This window comes from Homo sapiens, chromosome 13, assembly GCF_000001405.40.
Source record: "Homo sapiens chromosome 13, GRCh38.p14 Primary Assembly".
NCBI classification, from domain to species: Eukaryota; Metazoa; Chordata; class Mammalia; order Primates; family Hominidae; genus Homo; species Homo sapiens.
Window position 1 is genome coordinate 106252980 of NC_000013.11, and position 24390 is coordinate 106277369.

A 24390-nucleotide genomic window follows, 5' to 3' on the forward strand; every position below is an offset into this window, starting at 1 on the left:
TCAGTTGATCCGCCCACCTTGGCCTCCCAAAATGCTGGGATTACAGGTGTGAGCCACCAGCCCCGGGCCAGAATTTTTTCTTAACGAAAAAGACAGGAAAATAAAAGCTATACAGGAAGAAAAATTCTTTGAGCTAAAAAAGGATTTGCAACCACAGGTTTAAAAATTCACTACATTTTAAGTAAAACAAAGAAAAATTTTATTATACCTAAGTACATTCTGGCCAAAAAAAAAAAAAAAAGTGATGACAAAGAGGTAAAACAAGAATTTCTACAGGCATGTAGGCAGAGTTAGGGGTTGAAAGAATGCAACTGCAAACAAATAACTATTAAAGGCCTTTTGGACTTCCCTATAAACACCTAAGACAATACCCAGAGTCCTCTGGGAAAGTTGTGATCCACCAACTTTTCACATGGCCAAGTTGTCTTTCGCTTATGAAATCAACAGAGAACTTTGAAAAGGCATCACGATGTGCCCTTTTATAATAATAAAATTGTCTGTGAAACCCATAACACCAAAAACTCCCCAAAGAAGTAATTGAGGCTTAAAAGGGTCTAAGTGTCTACCCAGGATGGTGGTGAAAAGCACTGAGTTTAACTCTAGCAGCCTCGTTTCAACTCCTGACATGTACAATAGCTGTGACTTTTAACAACTACAAACCTAGTTTCCCCTCTGTAAAATGAGAATAGTAGTCTCTACATCTAATTGTTGTAAAGCTCTTACGTATGGAAAACATTCACTATAGAGCCTATTGTATAGGACATACTCAGTAAATGTTTAACGACAGTATTACTGGTGCCATATACGTGTAATATTTAAGGCTAAAATGAAGTAGAATGCCTTGCAAAGGAGCTACTGAAATTGAAGCCAATCTTATCCATGGTCTATGTATTAGGTTGGTGCAAAAGTAATTATTTTAATGACAAAACCCGGAATTACTTTTGCACCAACCTAATATATATAGTCACCTTGAATAATATCTTTTTACTTCTGAAAACAGCACTTGAATGGTCCTCTCTCATATGAATATTATGTGCATGCATTTGTATAACATGTATACTTTGTGACTTATGTAAATATAGTTATAGGGTAAGGAATATGGTATAACAGACCTCTTACTAACTAATCAAGGTATACATCAATTGGTGGCAAAACTAACCACTGAGGAAGAGGGGCATCCCACCGTGGAATGAACACAGGGCCAGCTCAACACTACTCTGATAAGTGAAGTTTGCGTGAGCTGTTTAGGTAGGTAAGGGTGGCCCCCATCATGATTCATTGGCAGAGAAAGGCAGCAAAAGTGCTGAAATAAATTTCCCAAGTTTATCGGCATTGGTGGCTCAGATTCCACAGTAGAGATAAGTGGTGAGTGGTTATCTTTGGGGCCACCTTGAGAGGTAGCACCTGGCCAGTGCCTGAACCAGCCATGGCTTCCCTGCAGTAACAAATGGGAGTCCTTTGGGGATGGGTCAGTGCCCCCAAAGAACACTGCATAAGAGATAAGCCATCCCTCACATCTGGAAACAAGAGTCACTGGTTCCTTTGGAAACCTCAGCAGGCGGAAGACATTTGGAGCTCAAGAGAATAACCAGGAAAAAGAGCCATGCAATCGTATGTGTCCACAGTTGATGAATCAAGTCAGACTGGTTAAAAGTGTTTGCCAAATTAATGAATAAATGATCAATGTCAGGAGAGTCCATGTCTCCCCATCATCCCCGGCTTTCCCAGAGGAGGACCATGGCTGGTTTTCTTAATCTGATAAAATCATGCTTTAAAATGATGTAGTCCCCGTAGTTTAATTAAACCTGACTTCTTGCCAAGACTTTCTTAACATTTTCCAGGATATCACTCCTTTCGGACTTTAAGAAATGTTATGAGCGTAACATTCATTTCAAAAACAGTAATAATGCACTTTTCTAACATATTAGGTTGGTGCAAAAGTAATTGTGGCTTTTTCAATATATTCAAAACACAATATATTAATACAGCAACACTACTAATTCACATACACGTTACTGACATTCAGAGTTCATGGGGAAAGTGGAAAGTTATTCTTGCCTGCAATGAATCACCCATATATTGAGTCCTTTCTGATCTTCTGTCACAATTCAATTACACACATTCCCATCCTGGAAAACCTTACTCCAGGGTCTTCGTAACCCTTTAAACACCTAGTCAGATGAACTCCCAAATCCATTATGAATAACATTAGATTTATAGAAATTTGATATGTATCTTTCCTCAGATTCAGCAAGAGAATTTCTGAGAAAATCAATGACTGGAATTCCTCTGTTCCTCTTTCGATGGAAAATGTAAATATGAGGGCAATCCTAAGTGAAATTGTTAAACAGGCAAAGTGTCTCCAAGACTTCTTTCTTTCCAGGCATTCAATGTTGTCACATTGTCAAGTCTTGCCCTGTCATAAACAGAAGGAGCTGAAAAACTTATCCACAACCAAGGTGTTACAAATTGGCATTTATGTGATCTCAAACCTAAAATATGTACCCAAGATCATCCAGCCCAACCTTCTACTTAATTAGCAGACTTCTCTTCACTACCTTGAGAAGCAATCATTTCTGTCACCCCCAGTCATCAACTTCCTCCTCATTCCATTGCTGGACAAGCTCCCTAGAAAGCTTTGGCTCTTTGGGGGTCAAGGTTGCCTCCTTCATATTTCACCTATGACCCTTTGGCTCCACAGACACTGTCCATCCTTATGCGTGAAAGCTCTCCAAGTAGCTCAACAAAATGATTTCATTCTAATGTGACTTTTTCACTGACTTAATTAACTTCTTCAATTTCAACTTTTCCTCTTATGTCATGGTTTTTAAATGGCCACCATCTTGTTCACTCATGTTTCTATGCACTCCCATTTGTAAATGTCCTTCTCCAAGTATGTCTCCCAGAAAAAGCTTTATTCTGATAGCAATTTCTGGGGGAGATGTCATAGTATATTAGAAAAAGCACAGACTTTGAAACTATCTAGATTCCTGAGTCTGAATCCCAGCCCTTGAACTGCAAGCTAAGTGACCTTGAGTGAGTTATATAACTTCCCTGTTTTCTCACTTTAAAGGAGGAATTGTACCACCTGATAAAATGATAGTGAAGACTAGAGAAAATCAGTGTAGCATAAAACAAAGTATAGCCCTTAGCACAAAGTGGTAAACCCTCAATTAATGATATCTATCATTATTATATATCTCTATTGCAGGCTAGAAAACGATGACATCAAAAGATGACTAAGTTGCCTTGTGAGTCTATCTAGGTGAGTGTGTCCTTATTCTAGGAGCAAGAAACCTAGGTTTGATAGTCCCCAAGAGTGACTTCTCTGTTTTCAGTATTCTTTCCCCTGGCTCTAATCCAGGGGTACAGATTAATCCACTGCTCCTTGGTAAAGTGACACTTTCTGTATTTCGAATATTTCAGCTTTGGGAATAGAACAGTAAAGATTTTCAAAATCCCAAAGTAGTGCCTGAGTTTTCTGATTTTATTTGAAATGAATGGTCTCCCAAGTCATAAATTCTCCATATCATCAACTAGTTCTACTCGTGAGTGCTATGGGAGAGATTTGTGTTATTGCTGACACTAAATCTACACCAAACACCTCTTACTCTTGCTATAGAAATTACCATGAATATGGCACAATTTAGAAGTTCCACTTCTAAGTGTTCTATGGCAGGGCTAATGTCCAGAGAATGAATAGTGAGGGAGACAATGGCTCAACCCCACTAGATCTGCTCACTGGAAACTGAGAGGACCCCAGGCTACCCTGTAGGTCTCTACAGGGGGCCTCTGGGAGAGTGTGATCTAAAATGACATTAAAATTAAGGCAAATACTTTGGAATGCAGATGGAACTCATTTCAAATTTTGTGGGCAAAATTCTGACCTAAAGCTTCTTCTTACCTTGCCTGATTTGCCCCTCTTGAAATCTGCTGGTTTAGAGCTCAGAGAGAAGACAGAGGTAGAGGAGGAATCCTAAGATTGCAAAATTGAGAAAAGTCGTTCCAGCAGCCAAAAGAGAGAATGGTAGGTTGGAAGGGATTGAAGTAGCTGAGTTCATCAGTGCAGGCAAACAGAATCAGCAGACCTGACTGCACTTCCATTCCCAGAGAAGCCAGGGGGAACTCCCACCACCAGGCTTCAAGGCTCCTTATGGGTTCATAAGTGAGTGGTTCATCTACATCATTTTATCACTTCTCTTTCTGTGTTGTTACCAACTGTAAAAATATTTAGCACACATTAAAATGTTTTGTGAACTTACTTGGAAAAATAAATGACACTAAACGTTGCAGAATGCAGTGGACTTCAGAAAGGAACTCGTCAGAAGAGTGGCAGGTAACAGTATTGTGGCCAAGAAACCAGTTCCCAAGATGTGACACTAATTAGCAGTTTATGTTTAGTTGGCGCATTTGTTTCAAAAGCTCTTTTACATTCCTTATTTCACTTCAGGCTCACAAAGTACAGTAGGGGCACAGCCTACAAGGCACTATCATGAATGAAATAATGGGCCTGTCACAGCTGGGTACAAAGCAGGCAGGGGTTCAAAATCTGCTAAACAGGGTACCAGGGAAGAATTTTTCAAGGAAGCCAACCAGAAGCAGAGGTGAATGTTCCAAGAAGCCCTGGGTCATGACCAAGAACATCATGGTTATGACCTAGGCCCTAGACTAGGACCCTTGCACTGAATGCTCAGACCCTCCCTTCTACTGGCCGTTCTGCCCCAAGACTTGTGCATACAATGAAAATCACAACAGAGTCTAACTCATAGATTTGTGGGGAGGATTAAATGAATTAACAAGTGTACATCTACTCTTCAATCCTCTTGTAAGTAATCACCTTTTGTGGCTATGTAAACTCTCCTTCTTGCTTCTAGATTATTCCCATCCCCTTCTGTGAGTGGCCAACTATTAGCACGTAATGCTCTATGAATGCCAGCAAAACCATCAAGTCCATACTCTACTGGCCATTCCCCCAGTGCCCATGACTAAGGCCACTTGCCCCTCTGCCCTGCAAGAAGTTCTCCGCCCGAGCTCTAGAACCAAGCCCCAAGAGCGTGTAAAGACCTGGTTCTGGAGTCAGGTAGACCGGGCTTTGATTTTCAGATTCTGTTTCTAACTGGCTGTACAAACTTGAACAAGATACTAGTCCTCCATTTTCCTATCTGAAGTGTGGGGATAATAATGCTAGTGTTGCAGAAATTTTGCAAGTAACATCAATAATATACAAGCATCTAACAAGATGCCTGACAAGCTAAAAATTGCTGCTATTGTCATTGGTGTTGCTATTTTCCTTATGATTACTATGCCTAAGTCCACTGTCACTGCTGGTATTGCTTTAATCTTGCATCCACGTTCTAGTAACTGGGCTTCTCTGTGCCATACTTGCTGCCATTTTCTGCCTCTCCTCTTGCTTCTTCCAGAATGAGAGCACATATTTTGTGTAACATGTATCATGACTTCAGAGAAGAGCGACTTGTTAAAATAGCATTTGATAAAGCAGGGATTTGGGCAGCAAGTTGCTAACTTGCTTTTGTACATTTTGGGCTCCAGAATTATAACTTTAAAAGTTAAGTAGGATACCCCTAGTTCAGGTACTAAATATAACAATTGCAAAGGATGTTACACAAGCTTTAAAGAAGACAAAAAAAGTTATGATTAAAAATGGCTAAGTCTAAAATTCAGGGAGATATAGATACGGATATAGATATAGAGTTATTTCTTTTTGTGAATAATGATGCATAAAAGGCACCTATCAGATTTTCATGTCAGTGTTGGACTGCTCTTCTAAGCAGCTGGTGATAAACCTGAATTGTGTGTAAGCGCTGAGTTTCTGCACGGTTCATTTTGGTGCTCCTTGAGTGACTCACACTGCCTTGGTCACTGCCATTTGTGCTGGTATGCGTCTTCTTCCTGCAGGGTGGTGTCCTCAGCCATTGCTTGGGTACTTGCAGAAAATACAATCCGTACAAGCTGAGTCTTTGCATTTCATTTCTGTGAAAGTTTTTGCTCCCTTGAAATAAAATGTACCAGCTGCTGGCTGTGGCAATGCAACGCTACTCTGTTTGTCTGAGCTTGGTTCTCTGTGGCATCTATGTCTAGTGATCAATAAGGTCTCCCCTGGCCCCACTTTTAGAGAAACATGTTTGTTAGAACATCTCTCTCCACTACTGATGAGACGGGATTGTTCCCTTGACCTTGATCCCCTTCATGGGGCAGGAACTGGAGTGCCTCGTTTCACTCAGCTGGCCACTCCTGGTGAGAGGAAGCATGCAAGCAAGTGAGTGCGGGAACCAGAGGGAACGAATGTTGGAACCAGCCCGTGGCTCCTCTCTGGAGGAGCAGGCTCTGTGCAGGCCCCGCAGCAGCATCCGAGCCCCTGCTCTATGGTCACCTGGGTTCTTGTCCAGCGTCCAGGAAGAATCAGGTCACATGAAAGAATTAAAGATTAGTGTATGCAGAGGCTTTTATTGGATGACAAAAGTGGCTCTCTGTGGGATGGGGAATTGGAAAGGGGATGGTGCGGGAAGGTGTTCTTCCCCTGAAGACTCACCGTCTGAAGTTAGCTGCGTCTATCTGTAGTCTCCAGAGCTCAGTCGCTGCTTCTCTGCTCGCCGCTCAGCCACTTGTATCCCCAACACTCAGCCATTTGTGCTGCTGTGCGAGCTGAAGTCTCTGTATGGGCACAGGATAGGGGCATGGCAGACCAAAAAGGCAACATTTGGGTGGAAAAACAGGGCGGACTGTTTTCACTTAGGGCTGCAGTTCCAGGCTTAAGGGTGGGTTTAGCCCGGAGCCCAGCCATTCTGTATCACCATGACCACCCCCAAGCAGGCCACCACCTAAGAGGCACTACCGAATTCGTGCTTGGTGTGGGGGTGTGGGGGTGTGGGTTGAATTGTGGCCCCAAAAGACATGTGAAGTCCTGGCCTCCAGTACCTATCAATGTGACCTTATTCAGAAACAGGATCTTTGCAGATACCATCAGAACATCAGCTAAGATGAGAAAGTACTAGAGTAGGGAGGCTCTTATTCCAGTGACTGCTGTCGTCATCAGAAGACGCAGAAACCCACAGAGAGCGGAACAGCCTGCGAAGACACAGACGTGGGGAAGGCGCCCTGCGGCCATGGAGGCGCAGATTGCGGTGACAGGACTGCAGGTCAGGAGCGCCAGTGTCCTCCACCGAAGCTCGGAGAGAGAGCACGGCCCGCCCCCGTCAGACTTCTGGCCTCCAGAACCGTGACAGAATTGATTGTGTTGATGTAAGCCACCCGTTTTGTGGCAGTTAGCTACAGCAGGCACAGGAAAATGATACGGGTGTGTTAAATTTGTTACGTCTACTCCCCCCTGAGAAGCCAGTTTTCTGCTCTGAACCGGAGATCCAGAAGGACCCTCCAGGGATGACCTCCCAACTCTTTGCCTAGAGATCGGCAAGCACGTTGCCGGAGGCTCTGTCCAGAACATCCGCTCTGCGGCTCACTTTTCATGGTCCCACCTGAGGCCACGTCTGCCGAAGCTGCCTCCGATGTCGCTCACCTGCCATCGGGAGAGTATGCAGCCTTCCCGCCTGTGCCTCCTTCATCTCCGGCTGCTCGCATCCCCCAGGCACCGCCTCAACCCCGTGAGCACCTCCCTAAGTGAGAGGCCCTCCTAACCGGCCTTTCGCTGAGCCCACAAGGCTCTGAGTGTCCCTCTGGCCTCCACAGCGCCGCTTCTCCCTGACAGCCATGTCCTCAGGTATAATGAAAATTATAGACTTAGATTAAAGAGTTAGATTACAAACAAATCCAGAGCCCGAGGCTGGGCATAGAGAACCAGCCCTTCCTTCAGTCTGGTGATCCTGGCCCCTTCCCACCCCACCCCAGGCCTCTTCTGCAGCATTTCCATGAGCTGCAGAGAAGGCTTCACAAGCCTCTTAACCTGAAGTAAGACTTAATTGGTTAGTTTAGAAGTAATGTATGCCTTTCATGCATGCATTTTGAACAGATTAGAAAACTCCAGTATCTATCAATTTATTTTTTCCAAAAGGAGTTATTAAATATAATGTGGAAATGTCTACAGAGTAGGATCAATATTGATATATCGAGACAATCGCTCTCTGTGTCTCTTCCCAGTTGCCCTAAGTTGCTACTTAAATTCGCTTTTCCTTTTATCAGTAAAAATAGTTGGGAACATATTCCCCATAGCACCCATTTCTCGTATGTTTTTAGACATTCTGTGAAAACATCCCAGTTTAATTTCCAGGGGTAGGATTGTTGAGTCAAAGGTTTATGCATGCTTAATTGCATTAAATACAGACGAATTATTTCTCAAAAACTTAACTTACAATCCCACTAATGGTGGTTAAGAACGACATTTCCCCCTCACGTTTGCCACCACAGGGTATTATGTATATATTTCAACTCTGCCAACTGGTGAAATTGGCATTTGGGGGGTTTTGTTTTTTGTTTTTGTTTTTAATTTTTTCTCTGTTTTGGTTTGTGTGTCTGCATTTCTCTGACTACTGACATGAACATCTTCAGAAATGTATTCGTCATTTTCAATTTTTCTGCTGTAACTACCCCATCACTGGCGTGAACGTCTTCAGAAATGTATTCATCATTTGCAATTTCTCTGCTGTAACTACCCCACCACTGATCACTGACTTGAAGGTCTTCAGAAATGTATTTGTCATTTGCAATTTCTCTGCTGTAACTACCCCTATCACTGATGTGAACGTCTTCAGAAATGTATTTGTCATTTGCAATTTCTCTGCTGTAACTACCCTTATCATGCCTTTTTGCCTATACATATATCAAATCTCTTATATTTTTCTTATTCGTTTGCTTACTTTATCCTTCAAAAATCAAAGTACCGACTTGTGAATTACGTGGATAAGTTTGCTCATTCCAGTCTTCTTGGTAATGACCCCAAACCAGAACCAACCTGAAGCTCAGCAGCAGGATTCAATTGTTCAAATTATGGTGCCTACTTCTGGAATAATGCTCTTCAGGCCTTCAGAGATTGAGATCGATTTATCAATATTTGGAAGGAAATTCTTGATACATTTGTTCAGAAAAAAATAGTAGATTTTTCAATGTGACATGCAGAATAATCCATTTTATAAAACAAACAAAAAACAAAAGCACAAATTTGGAGACTCTTGGCCCCTCCCTTGTTCTTGGCTGCCACATCCCATCCATCACCAAGCCATGCCACTACTCTCTCCTAAATTTCTCTATCCTACCCACCAGTGTCCCTTGCCTTTATCCCTCATGCAAGACTCTCTCAGCTCTGCAGTGACTTGTTTCTCTGTCCAGACATGCTGCTTCCTCTGTGCCAAGCAGGCAGCTCCTGTTCCTGGACCAAAGTCTGCTTCTTCTCAGGCATCACCTTAGCTGAGGCTTCCCTCCTGGATCCTCAAGCCTGGCCATTTGCTCCCCAGGTACCCAGCAGTCTGGATAGCATTGTTTTCCCTTGTCTTCTCTGTACCTGAATTTGCCCTCTAAGCTGCTGTTTCCTCCACTAGAGTAAGGATGAGAAAAAACAGGGGCTGGGTTTCATTTGCTATTGGATTCTCAGAGATAGCTCTCTACACAAGACATGTAGGGACCCCAGGAAAGTTTGTCAAATTCCTTGTGTGTTGTTCTTTATACATGGAGGTAATGCTTATGCCATATTCTTGACAACACACATGCTTTGGAATGATGCATTTATGAGATTATTATTTTGTTCAAGTTCAAATTCTATAGCTGTGGAAGAGAACAAGTACATCTGTACCTTACAGTGACTGGCGCTAATATCTGGATCCTATTAACATATGGAAAACAATAGTAGCATCTAATATTTGTATGCTGGTTTACAGTGTACATATTCACCAACCTAATTAATCTTACTAGTATCATGCTGCTCTAATGGTGTATTATTCTTCATTCCAGGCCAATGTTTTTTCCTAAGAAGTCTTCTGGTCTCCTGTGAGAAACTTGATGAGTGACACGGCTAAGCCCGACAGGCCAAAGCAAATGGTGTTAATAATTCAACACATATTTTTCGACTTTGTTTTGCTCAAAGATGTCAACTCCAGATAGGGGGAAGAGCTGCTTCTCTGTCTTCCAAAAGCCTCAAATATTTCAGGCTCGCCACCGCCCATGAGCCGTGGTTCCTTCCACCTTCCACTTCAAGAGTAAGTATTCCATGCTGCCAGAGCAGTGAGTCATAAAGGTGGCCGTGTTGCATCCTCATCTTCCTCTTGGTTCCTTTCATTTTTCTCCCAACTCACCTCCCTGCCTCTGGCCTGAGCCCCTCTCATTCACTCTCCTCTTCCGCTCCAGTGATCTTTCAAAAATGTAAGATTACTATATCACAATATGCTTTCGTGTCCTGCAGAGGCTCTGAAACTTCCATCTGTTTAACCCCCTGTTCAGTGCTGTGACAACCCGGCCTCTCTTCCTCCTCTGGGTCCATCTCCCACTGTCCACCTTGCGTGGCCCCTGACCCCTGCACTCCACACTTCAGCCACATCAAGCCCTTCGTCATGAGTGAACACATCAGGCTGTTTTCTGCTTTTATGCATTTTCAAACACTTTTCTCTATTCGACATGTTCTTTCATGCTTAGTCAACATAGGAAATTTCCTATTGAGACTTCAAAAACCTCCCACTCTGTGAAGGCATCTCTACTTTCCAAGAAAAACTGGCCATTTCCATTTGAATCACCACGATGTTTTGTCTTCACTTGTTATCCTGTGGCGTGCCCATGGGCCTACACACCTGTCACTCCTTGCAGCTATGAGATACCAGAGTACAATTATGGATTTTATGTTTCATTGCATCCTCTTGCCTGGCACGTGATAGGTGTGTTTATTCAGTGAATGAATGAACAAACTAATCGACCACAGAATGAAGTAGAGCCTCGAACCTGCATTAGGATTCTTTGACCACATGAGCAAAGGCACGAACAATAATTCTAGAATTTGGCTCAAAGTTTTCACTTGGTTTTCATTAAGGCCAGAGGCACCCTGTGGAACAATCCAAGGAAAAATTGCAATGGTCATTAATCTCCCTAAGAAATTCTAACTTTTCCTGCCAAATGTTTTACTAAGTCTTATGACTATTCACCAGTCTAGCCCATTAAAAATCATAAGGACTCTTAGAAACTGCATGCTGCTCCAACTTGTCCTAAAGCACTGAAGTTACCAACTGAGAGCCAGTCAAAAGTCTACCATTCAACAAAGTAATACATGATTATAAGAAAAATTATAAAGTAAGGCCAAGAATTGATCTGAACACAAATATATATTTGTCTCAGAACTCAAGGAGCTTCTTAAAAGGAGGAGAAATACCACTCACAGGGTTCCATCAGCTCACTTTGCTGACGCATTTGCTTTTGCCAGTGTTGGCAGCATGTGCAGTTAATGCATATCTAGGAATTAGCATGGCAGGGGGAGAGTGGGGAAAACATAATTTCCTAGCTGTATGCTTCAATTGATGCAGTCTTACAGAAATTACATTTGATGGGAAGGAAAAGTATTTAATCACTCCCTCTATGATGGACAGTTCGTTATTCCGACGTGACACATCCACAGGAAAAAGAAAGGCACATGCCTTGAGACTCACTACCTGTCTGCAATCTATGAGCCTGACATTCTATAGCAATCCATTTGGTTTAATAAACCACAGAAACTGTTTCAAACTTCTAAGGGGGTGCCAAGTAAAATGAGATGATTTGACTGGAATAACATGTTCTAACTGCACTGCAATGTAGAGCGGTGTTATTCTACTTTCCATTGTGCACAATGCATTCCACAAAGTATGGTCCAGTTGTATTTAATGCTGTGGCCACAGCCTTTACAGAATTTTGCTCTTCTAAGGTCCAGTTTTTTCAAAGGGACAGTAAGCAATCAGACACTAGTTTTATCTGATTAGTTTCTTTGGGAAGGCTAGGGCTAGGATATCAATGTTTATCAAATATTTCTATACTTCGAAATAGGTTTTCATTCTAGTGGGAAACAATTCTATAAAACTGGATGTGCGCCTTGCATTGTTCTTTTCTACTTTGTGTGTTGCTTGTTTTTCAGGATGCACTCTAAAAGATAGCATATTTAATTAAAACCTAGAAATGAAAACAATCATACTTTTAAAAATTAATCCCTCAGCATGATCTAGAAGCATGTCAATACCTTGGCCGTGGCAGTGACCCATCCAAGGTGCTCCATTCCATGGCTTGAGCTCTGCAATAACCCTCAGTACATGAAAAAGATGTTGTGGAAAAAAAAGGCCTTTTGTCTCAAGACAAGTGTCATGAAATGTATTCACTGAGGGGGATAAAAGTATTCCCTTTCTTAATTTACTTTTGGATAAGTAGACACAATTAATGAGGATTATTTAATAGAAGATACCTACTGGTCTTTTTTAAACATATAAATTATATTATTAAAAGTGAAAAGTTGAAGTACTTCTCTTTTTGTCTTAATTATTCTAATGTGCATTTAATATAAAAACAAGGTTTTTTGAAATTATAATTAGCTGCTGACAAATATAAATAAAACTTGCCAAAGTGAAGGATTCCAGAGTTACACAGATTTAAAGTTAGAGCCTATAATCCCAGCACTTGGAGGCTGAGGAGAGAGGATCTCTTGAGCCCAGGAGTTCAAGACCAGCCTGGGCAACATAACGAAACCAGTCCGTACAAAACAGAAAAGTTAGTCAGGCATGCTGGTGCAGGCTTGTAGTCCCAACTACTCCAGAGGCTGAGGTGGGAAGATCATTTGAGCCCATGGAGGTCGAGGCTGAGGTGAGCCATGATCGCACCATTGCACTCCAGCCTGAGTGACAGAGCAAAACTCTGCCTCAAAATAATAATAATAATACAATACAATATAATACAATAAAGTTTAAAAAGTATAATTCCTTTACTATCAAGAATATATAAAATAATCTATAGCTTACAACGTACCATCTCGGGGATGTTTACTCCTGGTTTTTCCATGTGCTTTTCATCAATAATATATGAGTCAAATCAATCTTTAATATTCAGAAGAGAATTATCTTTTATCTAAATGCTTGTCGTAAAACTAAAATGTAAAATAAATGAACTCAAATCTGTTTTTTTCTTTCTGGGAGATTTATAATATGAAAAGTCAGTTGCAAACTAAGATTTTATTATGCCCAATCAAAGCAAAGCCTCACACCAAATGAAGAAAGGATTTTTAATCTATAAGCCAAAAAATAGAGAAAAAACCTCAATATTTCCCATCCAGGCAACACTTAGCTTATAATGAGGGATTTTAAACCTGTTAAAAATGAATTTGTATTTGCTCTAATTCCTTCATAAGAAACATACACCAAAGAAAAAGCTCTATTGACTGGTGAGTTGCTAATGTTATTCCCTGGATCAGATAAGTTCATGTAGAAATAAAACAAAGGAACAAAATCGATATGCTATCGTTGTGGAATTTTAGGTATGAGATAGTAACTGAAATTAGAAATCAATCAGGGTGAGCTTTTCAAGGGAAATTTAGCACGAGATCTTTAAATGGCCCAAGTAATAAGACACTCAGTCAATTTGCTTTTCTTTGTTGCCTTTCTTTCTTTCAGTCTACTTATTTTTTAACTAAGATAAGGGAAACAGCAACAACTGCTTAAGAGTAAGAGAAAAGAAAACTTTAACAGTACTGAGAAAGTGAAAAAAAAGCAATTGTAAGTTTTGGTAACAATTGAGTTTAACACATAGATTTCTCACGACTGTAACTTGTAAATCAAAATTTAATCCTTCACCCAATATGAACATAAAACAAGAGATATACCTAAATGTAGGCGGAATGTAAGAAGAGATTGCTTGTGGCCAAAGGGGAATTTGGCAACTTCTTTAAGCAGTAGGAATCTGAGACAGCCTACATGAAAAAAAAAAAAAAAAAAAAAAAAAGAGATTGTTCTTGTCCAATCAAAAATAGGAAGTGTACCTGGTTCTTAACATGATGCCTATACTGTAAGGAAAGCTGCCTAAGGATGTGATAATAACTGAGAAGATGGACTAGATCGTATTAATCAACCAATTAGGAAATAAAGCATGAAGTTCACTGATTTGTTCACATTGTGAAAGATGAACCGCAGAAGGAAGGATGGCCCTCCGATTGGCCAAAAGGCCTAGGGCCATAGGTGCACAAAGACATTAGTCATGGACCAGATAGGACAATAGGATTAAATCCATCCCATAACTATTTGTAAAGCAAAAACCCAAAACAATTTCTGCTGCAACCATACAGCAGAAATGCAGTCCGCAGGTTTGTACTCTGAGTGGGCAGCTTCCATCTATAGCAACAGGGGAGGAGTGAAAATAAGAAGATGGCCTCACACATGAGCATGCGGCAGCTGACAGAGATGTCCCCTTCATATGATTTATATTTTCCTTCTGTAACTTGCTTGTTTCTTTCTGTGAACACATTGCAGGACCCTTCACTTGAGACGGAAGACTTTTCCAGGATTTCAAGACAGGGAGGCTCAGAATTTGCCGTGATGTGTGTATCTAACTCCAGCCATGCATAAGAAATGGCAAAGCCAGAGCCTCTACATGAAATACTAAGTGTAAGAATTTAGTAGAATATTTATAGAACTAGGTAAGCAGATAAATATAATCTTTTAGTAAATTATGCACATATTCTTATCTTATCTGATAAAACTAGAAAATATACTAGAAAATAATTCTACTCCCTGCTTCAGCATAAAGGTATAACGTATATATTCTTTGGGCCCCTTTCCCCCCCTTTTTTTTAATGTTTCTTTAGCATAAAATGGATCTATTATCGAACATAAAGAAAACTTGCTATTTCATTTATGGTGTATGTCAGTTACTCATATTAAATATAAATCTCTTAGAATAGGAAATAGGCAATCTGAATAGCATTCTTGTCACCTGTGAATTAATTGCAAATTTAAAACTATGTGCTATTGTGGTGTGACACAAGAAACTATTTAATATGCTTCCCAAGTACTTTTTTCAGTCCTTAGAGTAAAAATCATCTCACTTAGCACAAAAAATTTGCAGTGGAGACTACATAATCATAATTATTCATGCAAAATACTTTACACAGCTTCTTACAAAAACAAAGTGATTAAAAGACTGCCATTGTGGTGGAAGAAGAAAAATGTTATAAATTTAGTAGTTTGGTTAAGATCATAATATATGTAAATCCAAGACCTCAAAATGAAAATAGAGCTGTGATTTAGTGAAGCCAAGACTTCGAATTGTGTCAAATTGATGCTCCTGAAAATGCAAACTCATTTTTCCCAAAGAGCAATCTGAGAGGAATTATGACCATCACCATCTCCCATCAACACCTACTCACTAAAGACACTGGAGCTTTTGCGGGTGCCTCATAATTCACTTTCTCTTCAAGCTGCTCTTGAATATAACATTGGTTGGCATTACTAAATCTATCAGGAGTTGACTTTAGAATAGTTTAGTTACTAGCAAGTCCTACATCAGTAGGCATTCTTCCATCCAGACCAGACCCCAGGCCATGCTGACATGAGCCCCAACAAGCCTTCTCTACGTCAGTGGTCTCAAAGTGAGGCCAGACCAGCAGCCACAGCCCCGGGAACTTGATAGAGATGCAAATTCTCAGCTCCAAACCTATTGGGCAAAAATTTCTTGAGATGGGGCCTGGCAGTCTGTGCTCTAACATGCTCTCCACAAGATTTTGATGTGATAGAGCTGAGGGTCACCTCTCTACATCATGGAACAACCTCCATAAGTACCGACGAGGAAGGCAGGGTGAAGAAGATTAGGCTAGAGAAGGAACCTTAAGTTCAGTTAAAAAATATAACAGCCATGGTATAAAACTGTATGGAGTTGTTTTCCACAATAAAACTAAAAATAGAATCATGACATGGTCTAGCAATCTCACTTCTGGGTGTATATCCAAAGGATTTGAAATCAGCATATTGAAGAAATATTTGCGCTCTCATGTTCATTGCAGCACTGTTGACAACAGCCAAGTGAGAGAATCAACCTAAGTATTCATCAATGGATAAATGGTGAAAGAAAATGTGGAATATCAACACAATGGAATAAAATCCAGCCTTTAAAAAGAGGGAAATTCTGGGCCGGGCGTGGTGGCTCACGCCTGTAATCCCAGCACTTTGGGAGGCCGAGGCGGGTGGATCACGAGGTCGGGAGATCGAGACCATCCTGGCTAACACGGTGAAACCCCGTCTCTACTAAAAATACAAAAAACAGCTGGGCGTGGTGGCGGGTGCCTGTAGTGCCAGCTACTCAGGAGGCTGAGGCCAGAGAATGGAGTGAACCCGGGAGGCGGAGCTTGCAGTGAGCCGAGATCATGTCACTGCAGTCCAGCCTGGGAGACACAGCGAGACTCCGTCTCAAAAAAAAAAGAAGGAAATTCTGTCATTTGCGACAAAATGCGTGAACTTGGAGGACAGTATGCTATGTGAAATAAGCCAGGCACAGAAAGAGAAATCCCACATGTTCTCACTTCCATGTGGAATCTAAAACAATCAAGCTCACAGAAGAAGAGAAGAGAATGGTTGTTATCTATCACGGGGAATAGGAGGAATGAGGAGATGTTGGACAAAGGGTACATACAGAATTTCAGTTACACTTGAGAATAAGTTTTTTGAGATTGTTTGCACAGCCTGGGGATGATAGTTAATAATAGCATACTGTATATTTCAAAATCGCGGAGAGAATAAATTTCAAATGTTCTCACCCTAAAAAAAGTGATAAACATTTGAGGGGATGACTTTCTTCATTAGCTTGATTTAATCACTCCACTTTGTATACACATATCATAACATCTCTTCATACCCCATAAATATATACCATTATAATTTGTCAATTTACAATCAAATGTTTAAAACATAACATGGTTTCAAGGTGGTGGCAGCTCTTTAAAGCCTAATTCTCTCTTTATAGGAAAGAACTAGTATAATGTCCTGGTTGGCCCAAAGCCCACCCCAGCTGCTATCATCACAGCCCATGTAGCCCTACTGCCATTCATTTTTCTTTCTCATTCAGAAAAAAATAGTCTTTTGGGGATCATGTACTACTTACCTTTTTCTCTTCCTTCTCTAATCACATAAGCTGAGAAAGCTTCCAATTTTTTTTCTTTCTTTACTTGTTTTGTTTTTTTTAATTTAGCCTATCTTTCTCTCTGGGCAAAATCTGGTTTTCTCAGCTTCCCTTCCTTTACTGACATCAGTCAATCTCTACAACTCTTTATCCAGTTTCCACTTTGACTATGGCAAACAAATTCCCCTCAGATCCTTTGTCCTCACTGTTTTTTTTTTTTTTTTAATGTGGAACATTCCAGAAGCCAGAACTTGTGAGGCCACTCCCTTCTGGTCATGCAAACTTCAACCTCAATATCCCCTCCTCTAAGAAACCACCCCAAGACCACACAGCAAACCTTAGCCTTGTCCATTCATGCTTCAGCATCTCACACTGTTAATTTATTATCCCTCTGAAACATTCTCCTTTTACTTAATTCTTTCTTTCTTTGGGCTCTCTGGGTACAGATGTGAACTTCATCAGAGCAAGGATCTTGTCAGTCTTGTTCCCATGGTATACTCAACACCAATGCCTGGCACCAAAGAGTAGACACTCTTCAAATATGTGTTCAATAAATGAATGAATACAGTGCCATTATTTCATGTTTTTCCATTAACTAGAATTCTTTTGATTGAAAGTAACAAATTATTTCAACCTAGGTTAGTCAAACAGAATATTTGTGAAAGGATACAAAAATATCTCTCAGAAATCCAGGAGAAAAGCATATTGAGACTTCAAAACATTGGGATAGAGCGTGGGATGCAAGCGCCGGCTCTGCCCTTCTCTACCTCTGCCGTGTTTTTGCCTTTTCTCTCTTGTCACGCTGCCGTACCTCACTCCCCTGGTCCACATGGCAGAAGACATGGCGCTGATACTGTTGAAGTTGTGCTGGTTCCCACCTGAGCCTGGTGGAGAAAGAATGGATTCTCATTCTCACTCCCAGCTCCACAATTTCCAGGGAAGCATTCTATTCGATCCAACTATGTCGGGTTCCCAATCGTAGCGGAAGGGCAGCAAGTGAGGGCAGAGGCTTTAACGTTGTACTATCATGAAAGTTTATTAGTACCCACTCAGGTTTCACAGGATAAAAAGGGCAGTTCTTCAAAAAAAGGAAGACAATTTTCAAGGAAAGAGAGGTGCTGAGTAGACAACACATTGGTTCTCACTCTAGTTGAGTATTATTAATTATGGCTTGGCCACTGGGATGCCCGTTGACAAACTAAGGGGCAATATAGTATTTGGTGAGGACTGTCAACTTTACAGCCCATCTTCTGGGGTTCAAATCTCAACCCTGCCACCTCAAAACTGTGTGGCCTGAATCAAGAATCGTCTCCTAGCTGTGCCTCAGTTGGTCCTCTGTGACATGGGGACAACACAAGTCCACTATGATGATTCGTGCATGAAGAGAAGTTCCAGTGGTGCCTAACATATAGTAAGTGTTCAATTTGTGTCAATTGTATTATTTTTACTGATTCTGTGTTTGAATGAGTTAATGTAGCATTCAAAAGAGCCTAAGAAACGAAGTTTTGACATTACAGAGTGCAACGAAACAGTGGTTACAGGCACAAACTAACAAACTATCTGCAAATGTATACTGTCAAAAGAAATGTTAGACACACTTCAGTTTTTTCAGAAACATTTCCACACATTAGTAGAAATACTGTCATCTTGATATAAAAATGGCAGTCATTTGAATATGTGAGTGTGGGTTTGTAACACAAGAAAGAAAAATAATTTTTTTCTATAAATGGACATGTGATGGGATCAGCTGTCACCAACTCCACTGCTCATTCTCCCCTCCTGACCCCACAGACAATGCTCTAGGTGTATCTCTTCCTCACATCAACACTTCTCACCCACAGGCTTGGTCATCCTCTGTGGAATCACTGAATCTGTGAGAGCTGCTCCAGGCAGAGGGATTCAGAGATGTACTTCAAGAGTCAGGCCATGCACGGTGGCTCAGGCCTGTAATCCCAGCACTTTGGGAGGCTGAGGCTGGCAGATCACTTCAGGTCAGGAGTTCAAGACCAGCATGGCCACCAGGGCAAAACCCCATCTCTACTAAGAGTACAAAAATTAATCGAGTGTGCTGATGCATGCCTGTAATCCCAGCTACTTGGGAGGCTGAGGCACGAATTCACTTGATGCCGAGACGCAGAGGCTGCAGTGAGCCGAGATGGCACCACTGCACTCCAGCCTGAGCAACAGAGACTCTGTGTCAGAAAACAACAACAAATTTCTTAAAGCCTGTTTCTCCATGGCTAGGTCTAAACGACAGTGGCCTGGGGAAACAGGGAAAAAACAAAAAACAAAAAAAAAAACAAGCATGTGGTCAGAGAGGAGGCAGCAGGGTCACCTTGAAGCTGAGCTGAAGCAGTTCCTCAAGAAGGTTCTGTGGAAACACGGAGCTACAGAGCCAGCTGTCCTCCTGTTTCCATCTGGGGACTCAACTGCCCCAGAGACACAGGGGCAGTGCCGTCTGTAGTAGCATGGTCAGCCCACAGGAACTCCACCCAGCAACTCCTCTGTCCACATGCGCTTCCTGGCTGAGTACTTGAGTTGACCATCTGTCCATTGGACACTTGCGTGCCTAAGAGCTTTGGCACCTCGGAGAGCAAGGAAAGCCTTTCCCCTGAACAGTGTCCTTACAAAAGCAATTCATAGGCCAGGCGCAGTGGCTGACACCTCTAATCCCAGCACTTTGGGAGGCCCAGGCAGGTGGATCTCCTGAGGTCAGGAGTTTGAGACCAGCCTGGCCAACATGAGGCAACCCCGTCTCTACTAAAAATACAAAAATTAGCCAGGCATGGTGGCACGTGCCTGTAATCCCAGTTGCTCTGGAGGCTGAGGCAGAAGAATCGCTTGAACCCAGGAGGTGGAGGTTGCAGTGAGCAGAGATTGCACCACTGCACTCCACCCTGGGAGACAGAGCGAGACTCCGTCTCAAAAAAAAAAAAAAAAAAAAAAAAAAAAGCGATTCATGAGTCTCCAGTGTGCACTAGCTATAGATTAAAGGACATCTACCATAACCACATTAGCTTGCATTTTCACAGAAAAAGATTTGATGGAGATCACAATCTGTGAATGAGGGTATGGCTGGAAAGACTGTCTAGTGCTCAATAGTTGACAAACACTATCAAGTAATTTGTAGCCACGCCAGCTATCTGTGTGATCGAGTGCTATTGCGGCTTTACTATCACGAGGAGAAAATTATCCTAAGGAAGGTAAACGAAATAACAAAACACTGCTAGTTTTCTGTTGTCATTTTCCCCCTTCCATTCCCTGATTTATTAATCTTTACATTCCTTGTAACTTTCTATTAATGTTTCTTGACTGTTTTTCTACTGGCAAATATTTCACCTGTTACAATTAAAACACGGTGGCAGTCCAACACATGTTGAGTGGTTAAACACCACAGTCTTCTCCACATCCACGTGAAGTTTCTATTTAAAATGTTAGTTTGAATTCCTTTATTCTCAGTTACTTGGGCTGCCCTGTTTTCTTCTAGATCTCAAAACAATTTCAGATAGCAAACATTTTCTGGCCGAAGAGAAAAGATGTAATTTTTAAAAGTTCAATCATTCTTAATTATTATTGTAAATGTAAACATACCCATATAAATAAACCACATATGTGGATATAACGTTATTTGGTAGGTTGCTACTTTCTGAAGGAACAGGACTTTCTCATTAACCTGTAATAATTTGACAAAATAATGTGTGAATCAGAATGAATACCATTACAAGATATTAGTCATTTTATTATTTTCAATAATTAAAATATCTACTTTTAAGTTAGTAAATTTACCTAAAATGAAAGTAAGCTCTAGCATTTTACATCAGTTACAAGGCACTGTTTTTTTAATATTCCAATTTGTGACCAGGAGGATGTTCATCTCACTCTTTCAAAGCCATCCAGAACCAAAGATGCTGGAGTTAAGGCAAATCAATCCTATTCCATCTGCTGGTCCCTCCTCCTGAAATCGAGGCTGCTGCTGTTGGCTCTTAACTTGAGCTCCCATTTGCCATTATTGGGTTGCTCAATGCTCAACAATTTGTATTTTGATACCTTTACTTAACCTTCGTAATTTGTTAATATTCACCCACTGCTTCTCTGAAGCATGCGGCTCCCTTCAGCCTTACTACGCTTCAACGTCGCTACGCTTCAACCTCAGCCAATGCAAAATATTTATTAGAAACATGCAAAGAACTGCTAAGGAGGGGCTTGATCTAAAATGACCTTCAAAGACCCTTTGAAAGCTAAGATTTTTATGACCCTACGGCTACATGAGGAGTCAAGATTAAACCCATCCAATGGTCGGCAATAAGAATTAGACTGTGCTCAGCTCCCACTCTACGTGAAGTTGCAGGCGCCCAACAGAAATGCGCCCTGAAAAGCATGGTCAAAGTCATTCACCAAAGTCTCAGTGGCATGTGTAACCCATAGAAAAAACCCAGGCATCAAAGTCACATTTGTGGTAACTCTAGAGATTAACACTGTCATCATTTCTTGTTCAAATATAAATAAAAATAGGAAACATGGTCAATATTTGATCGTCGTCAAATTTGCATTGGAGAGTTCTAGGGAAGACAAAGTTTGTTTTATATCTTATTCCAAGTCAGTGTTTCCACGTGGTTAGAGATACAGGATTACCTCAGTCTTGAAAACATACAACTGACCAGGAATGACTAAAACATTTTCCAATTTAAATGTTGAACAAACAGGTATGAATAACCTCAAAAATAATACTTTAAAAATTGAGGGTGCCTGCTGGTTGGACACATGGAAATAAAATGTTGACATTAACAACACTGCCAAGGACCTGCTACCCAATAGAAAATTTGAATTCACAATAGCAATGCAGTCAAGGGAGATGGAGCTGTGCCATTAAAGATACTTTTTTCCATGTAGCTGTATTTTAAGATTCTCCAGAGTGCTTGTGCCCACAACTTATGTTTTAAAAAATAGCAAGGTTGTCATGCTACATACCAGAATAGTGAGGCATCTTCCACCCAGGGCCTTGGGATAGGTTTTGCTGCATGGTACCATATCTCTTCAATGAACAGAAATTCATTTAATTTTCTCATCAAATCCCTGAATGTCTACAAAAGCTGGGGTAAGGGGGAGCCTTTGCATTTTTCTATCCCAGGGATGGAAACAGATATTCCATGCAAATGGAAACCCTGAAAGCAAGCAGGAGTAGCTATTCTTATATCAGACAAAACAGACTTTAAAGCAACAACGGTTAAAAGAGACAAAGAGGAACATTATATAATGATGAAAGGATTAGTCCAACAGGAAAATATCACAATCCTGAATATATATGCCCCTAACACTGGAGCTCCCAAATTTATAAAATGTTTTCCTATCCTACAAACCTAAGCATAAATTTTATCTTGAGCAAAATTCCACTCTGCCTCACCCCAAAGGTTTAAACAAATATGTGAGGTTTGTTCACAAAACTCCAACTGAAAACATAAGGCATAATAACCATTTCTAGGCAGCCAACTGCTGAAACTAGTCTATAGTTTATTTGTATTGCTCTTATCCTGCTTAAATAGGATTGAGGATGTCAGCCCCTTCTTGCCTCCTAACCCAGAATGCTGAATAGCAGTTTCAGCCACGGTCACATCAGTTTAATGTGAAACTACCCAGAGCCTAAGAATTGTACACCATCCAACTACCTCAGCCGTTAACTAAAATTGTCCCTCAGATATGCAGAACCACTGACCAAGATAACATATTTTACTGTTTACCATAATGAAGACACAGGCTAGTTTGTGACACATGCTTCTGTAAGGACACACAGCCTCAGTCAGGGTGGAGCGGAGTTGGGTGGGTGCAATTACCCACCCACGTAGCCCCAGCTTCCTTTACCAAATCACACATTGTGGCTAAAGTGCAGATTCTACTTGTGAAACTAAATATATTTCACATTTGCTGTGATTAGCCAGTGTATCATATTATTTCAAGTGATTACAGCTATTGGCAAGCAAAGGATTTTATTTTCTGAGCATTTTCATCCATTTTTAGGCCACAGAAACAGAATTTTCTAGAAATTCTTGTCTTGGAATATATTCTTAAAGAAGTGCCTATCTGAAGGAGCCATTTCTACCCAACCAATTTGATTACTGGATTACTTTTTTACATGTAACAACATGAAAACAACGTTCATCATGCCTTGAAAAATATAATAAAAACTAATAAATTCAAAAACACAGAAATATTTTCTAATATCCTTTTTTAATTTAGCAGTGATTCTTGTGTTTTCTCCAAACCAATTTTGCTTCAGATGTTCCAAAGAAAAAAAAATGCCTTCAAATCTTCAGAAAATAACTCAGATGCTTTTATTTAAAATGAGCTTTGCCATCAGGGAACTGTTAGTCTATAGGAAGCTGTCGTCAAATAGAAACTCTAATCACCTTGCTACCCACTTCACGAAAGTTCATAATAGTCAGTTACATGTGACCTTCCACAATTAGTTTATTTGGGATTACAGCTTGATTCCCCAAAGATTTGGATATTTAACAAGGAATTACTACTGACTTAAATAAGTTCACAGGAGATACTGAGTGTACTGTGTCTGCTATGCACACAAATGCAAAAAGGCCAACATCCCTATAAATGTGTGATTCATTTTAGCCTGATTAGCAACGGTTTTCAAAATGGCTCCATTAATCCTCACACAACCACCCCCCATCTCAACCCAGAATCAACAAAATCTTCAGCTTATTTAAGCTTGAAACTTGAGAAAATAATCTTACACTATATTGGAACCCCAAATGCAGCTGTAGGTATCCCTCTGAGACGGTCACAGGGTTAGTAGACACCTCAGTAAAAGAGTTTTATTAGCATTTAATTTATTTAATTTTGAAGGGATTAAATGAAATGTTAGCATAACTGACTACAATCCACATTCCACAATCAACAACCCGATACCATTCCTTCTTCCAAGAAAATGACCGTGTATTTTGAGAATAGCTTATATAGTCAGCATGTTTTACAGGTTTCTCTGGAAAGGGAAAAAAAAGATGATGAATAATACAAGGTTTTTCAGCTAACTAGCTACTTAAGAAGGAAGCAGTCATACGCCAAACCATAGTGAGTCATGTCAACCTGTTTGAAGACAAATCTATGCCTTCGATTCTCACTTCTATCTGAAAAATAAATTACTATTCTCTATTTATTACACATGCTTCTGTTCAGTGATGGACATGATGGGGGCTAAATTGGAGTGCATTGTAGAAAAACTTCCAGATCATAACTGAATATTTAAGCAGCTTTTCCTATTTCACTGACACAGTAAGAAAAGCACTAACCTTTGCCGTTAGGCCCTTTAGGCTCAAT

General features: G+C 40.7%; 1 long non-coding RNA gene across 1 annotated transcript in view; it reads right to left on the minus strand.

Annotated features, from left to right (window-relative positions):
* LOC107984626 (uncharacterized) overlaps positions 1 to 24390 on the minus strand; it is a 142002-nt gene that overhangs the window by 20997 nt on the left and 96615 nt on the right. Inside the window, exon 3 of the long non-coding RNA XR_001750000.2 lies at positions 6551 to 6672. This is a non-coding gene — a long non-coding RNA (uncharacterized LOC107984626). The remainder of the gene's footprint in view (positions 1 to 6550; positions 6673 to 24390) is intronic.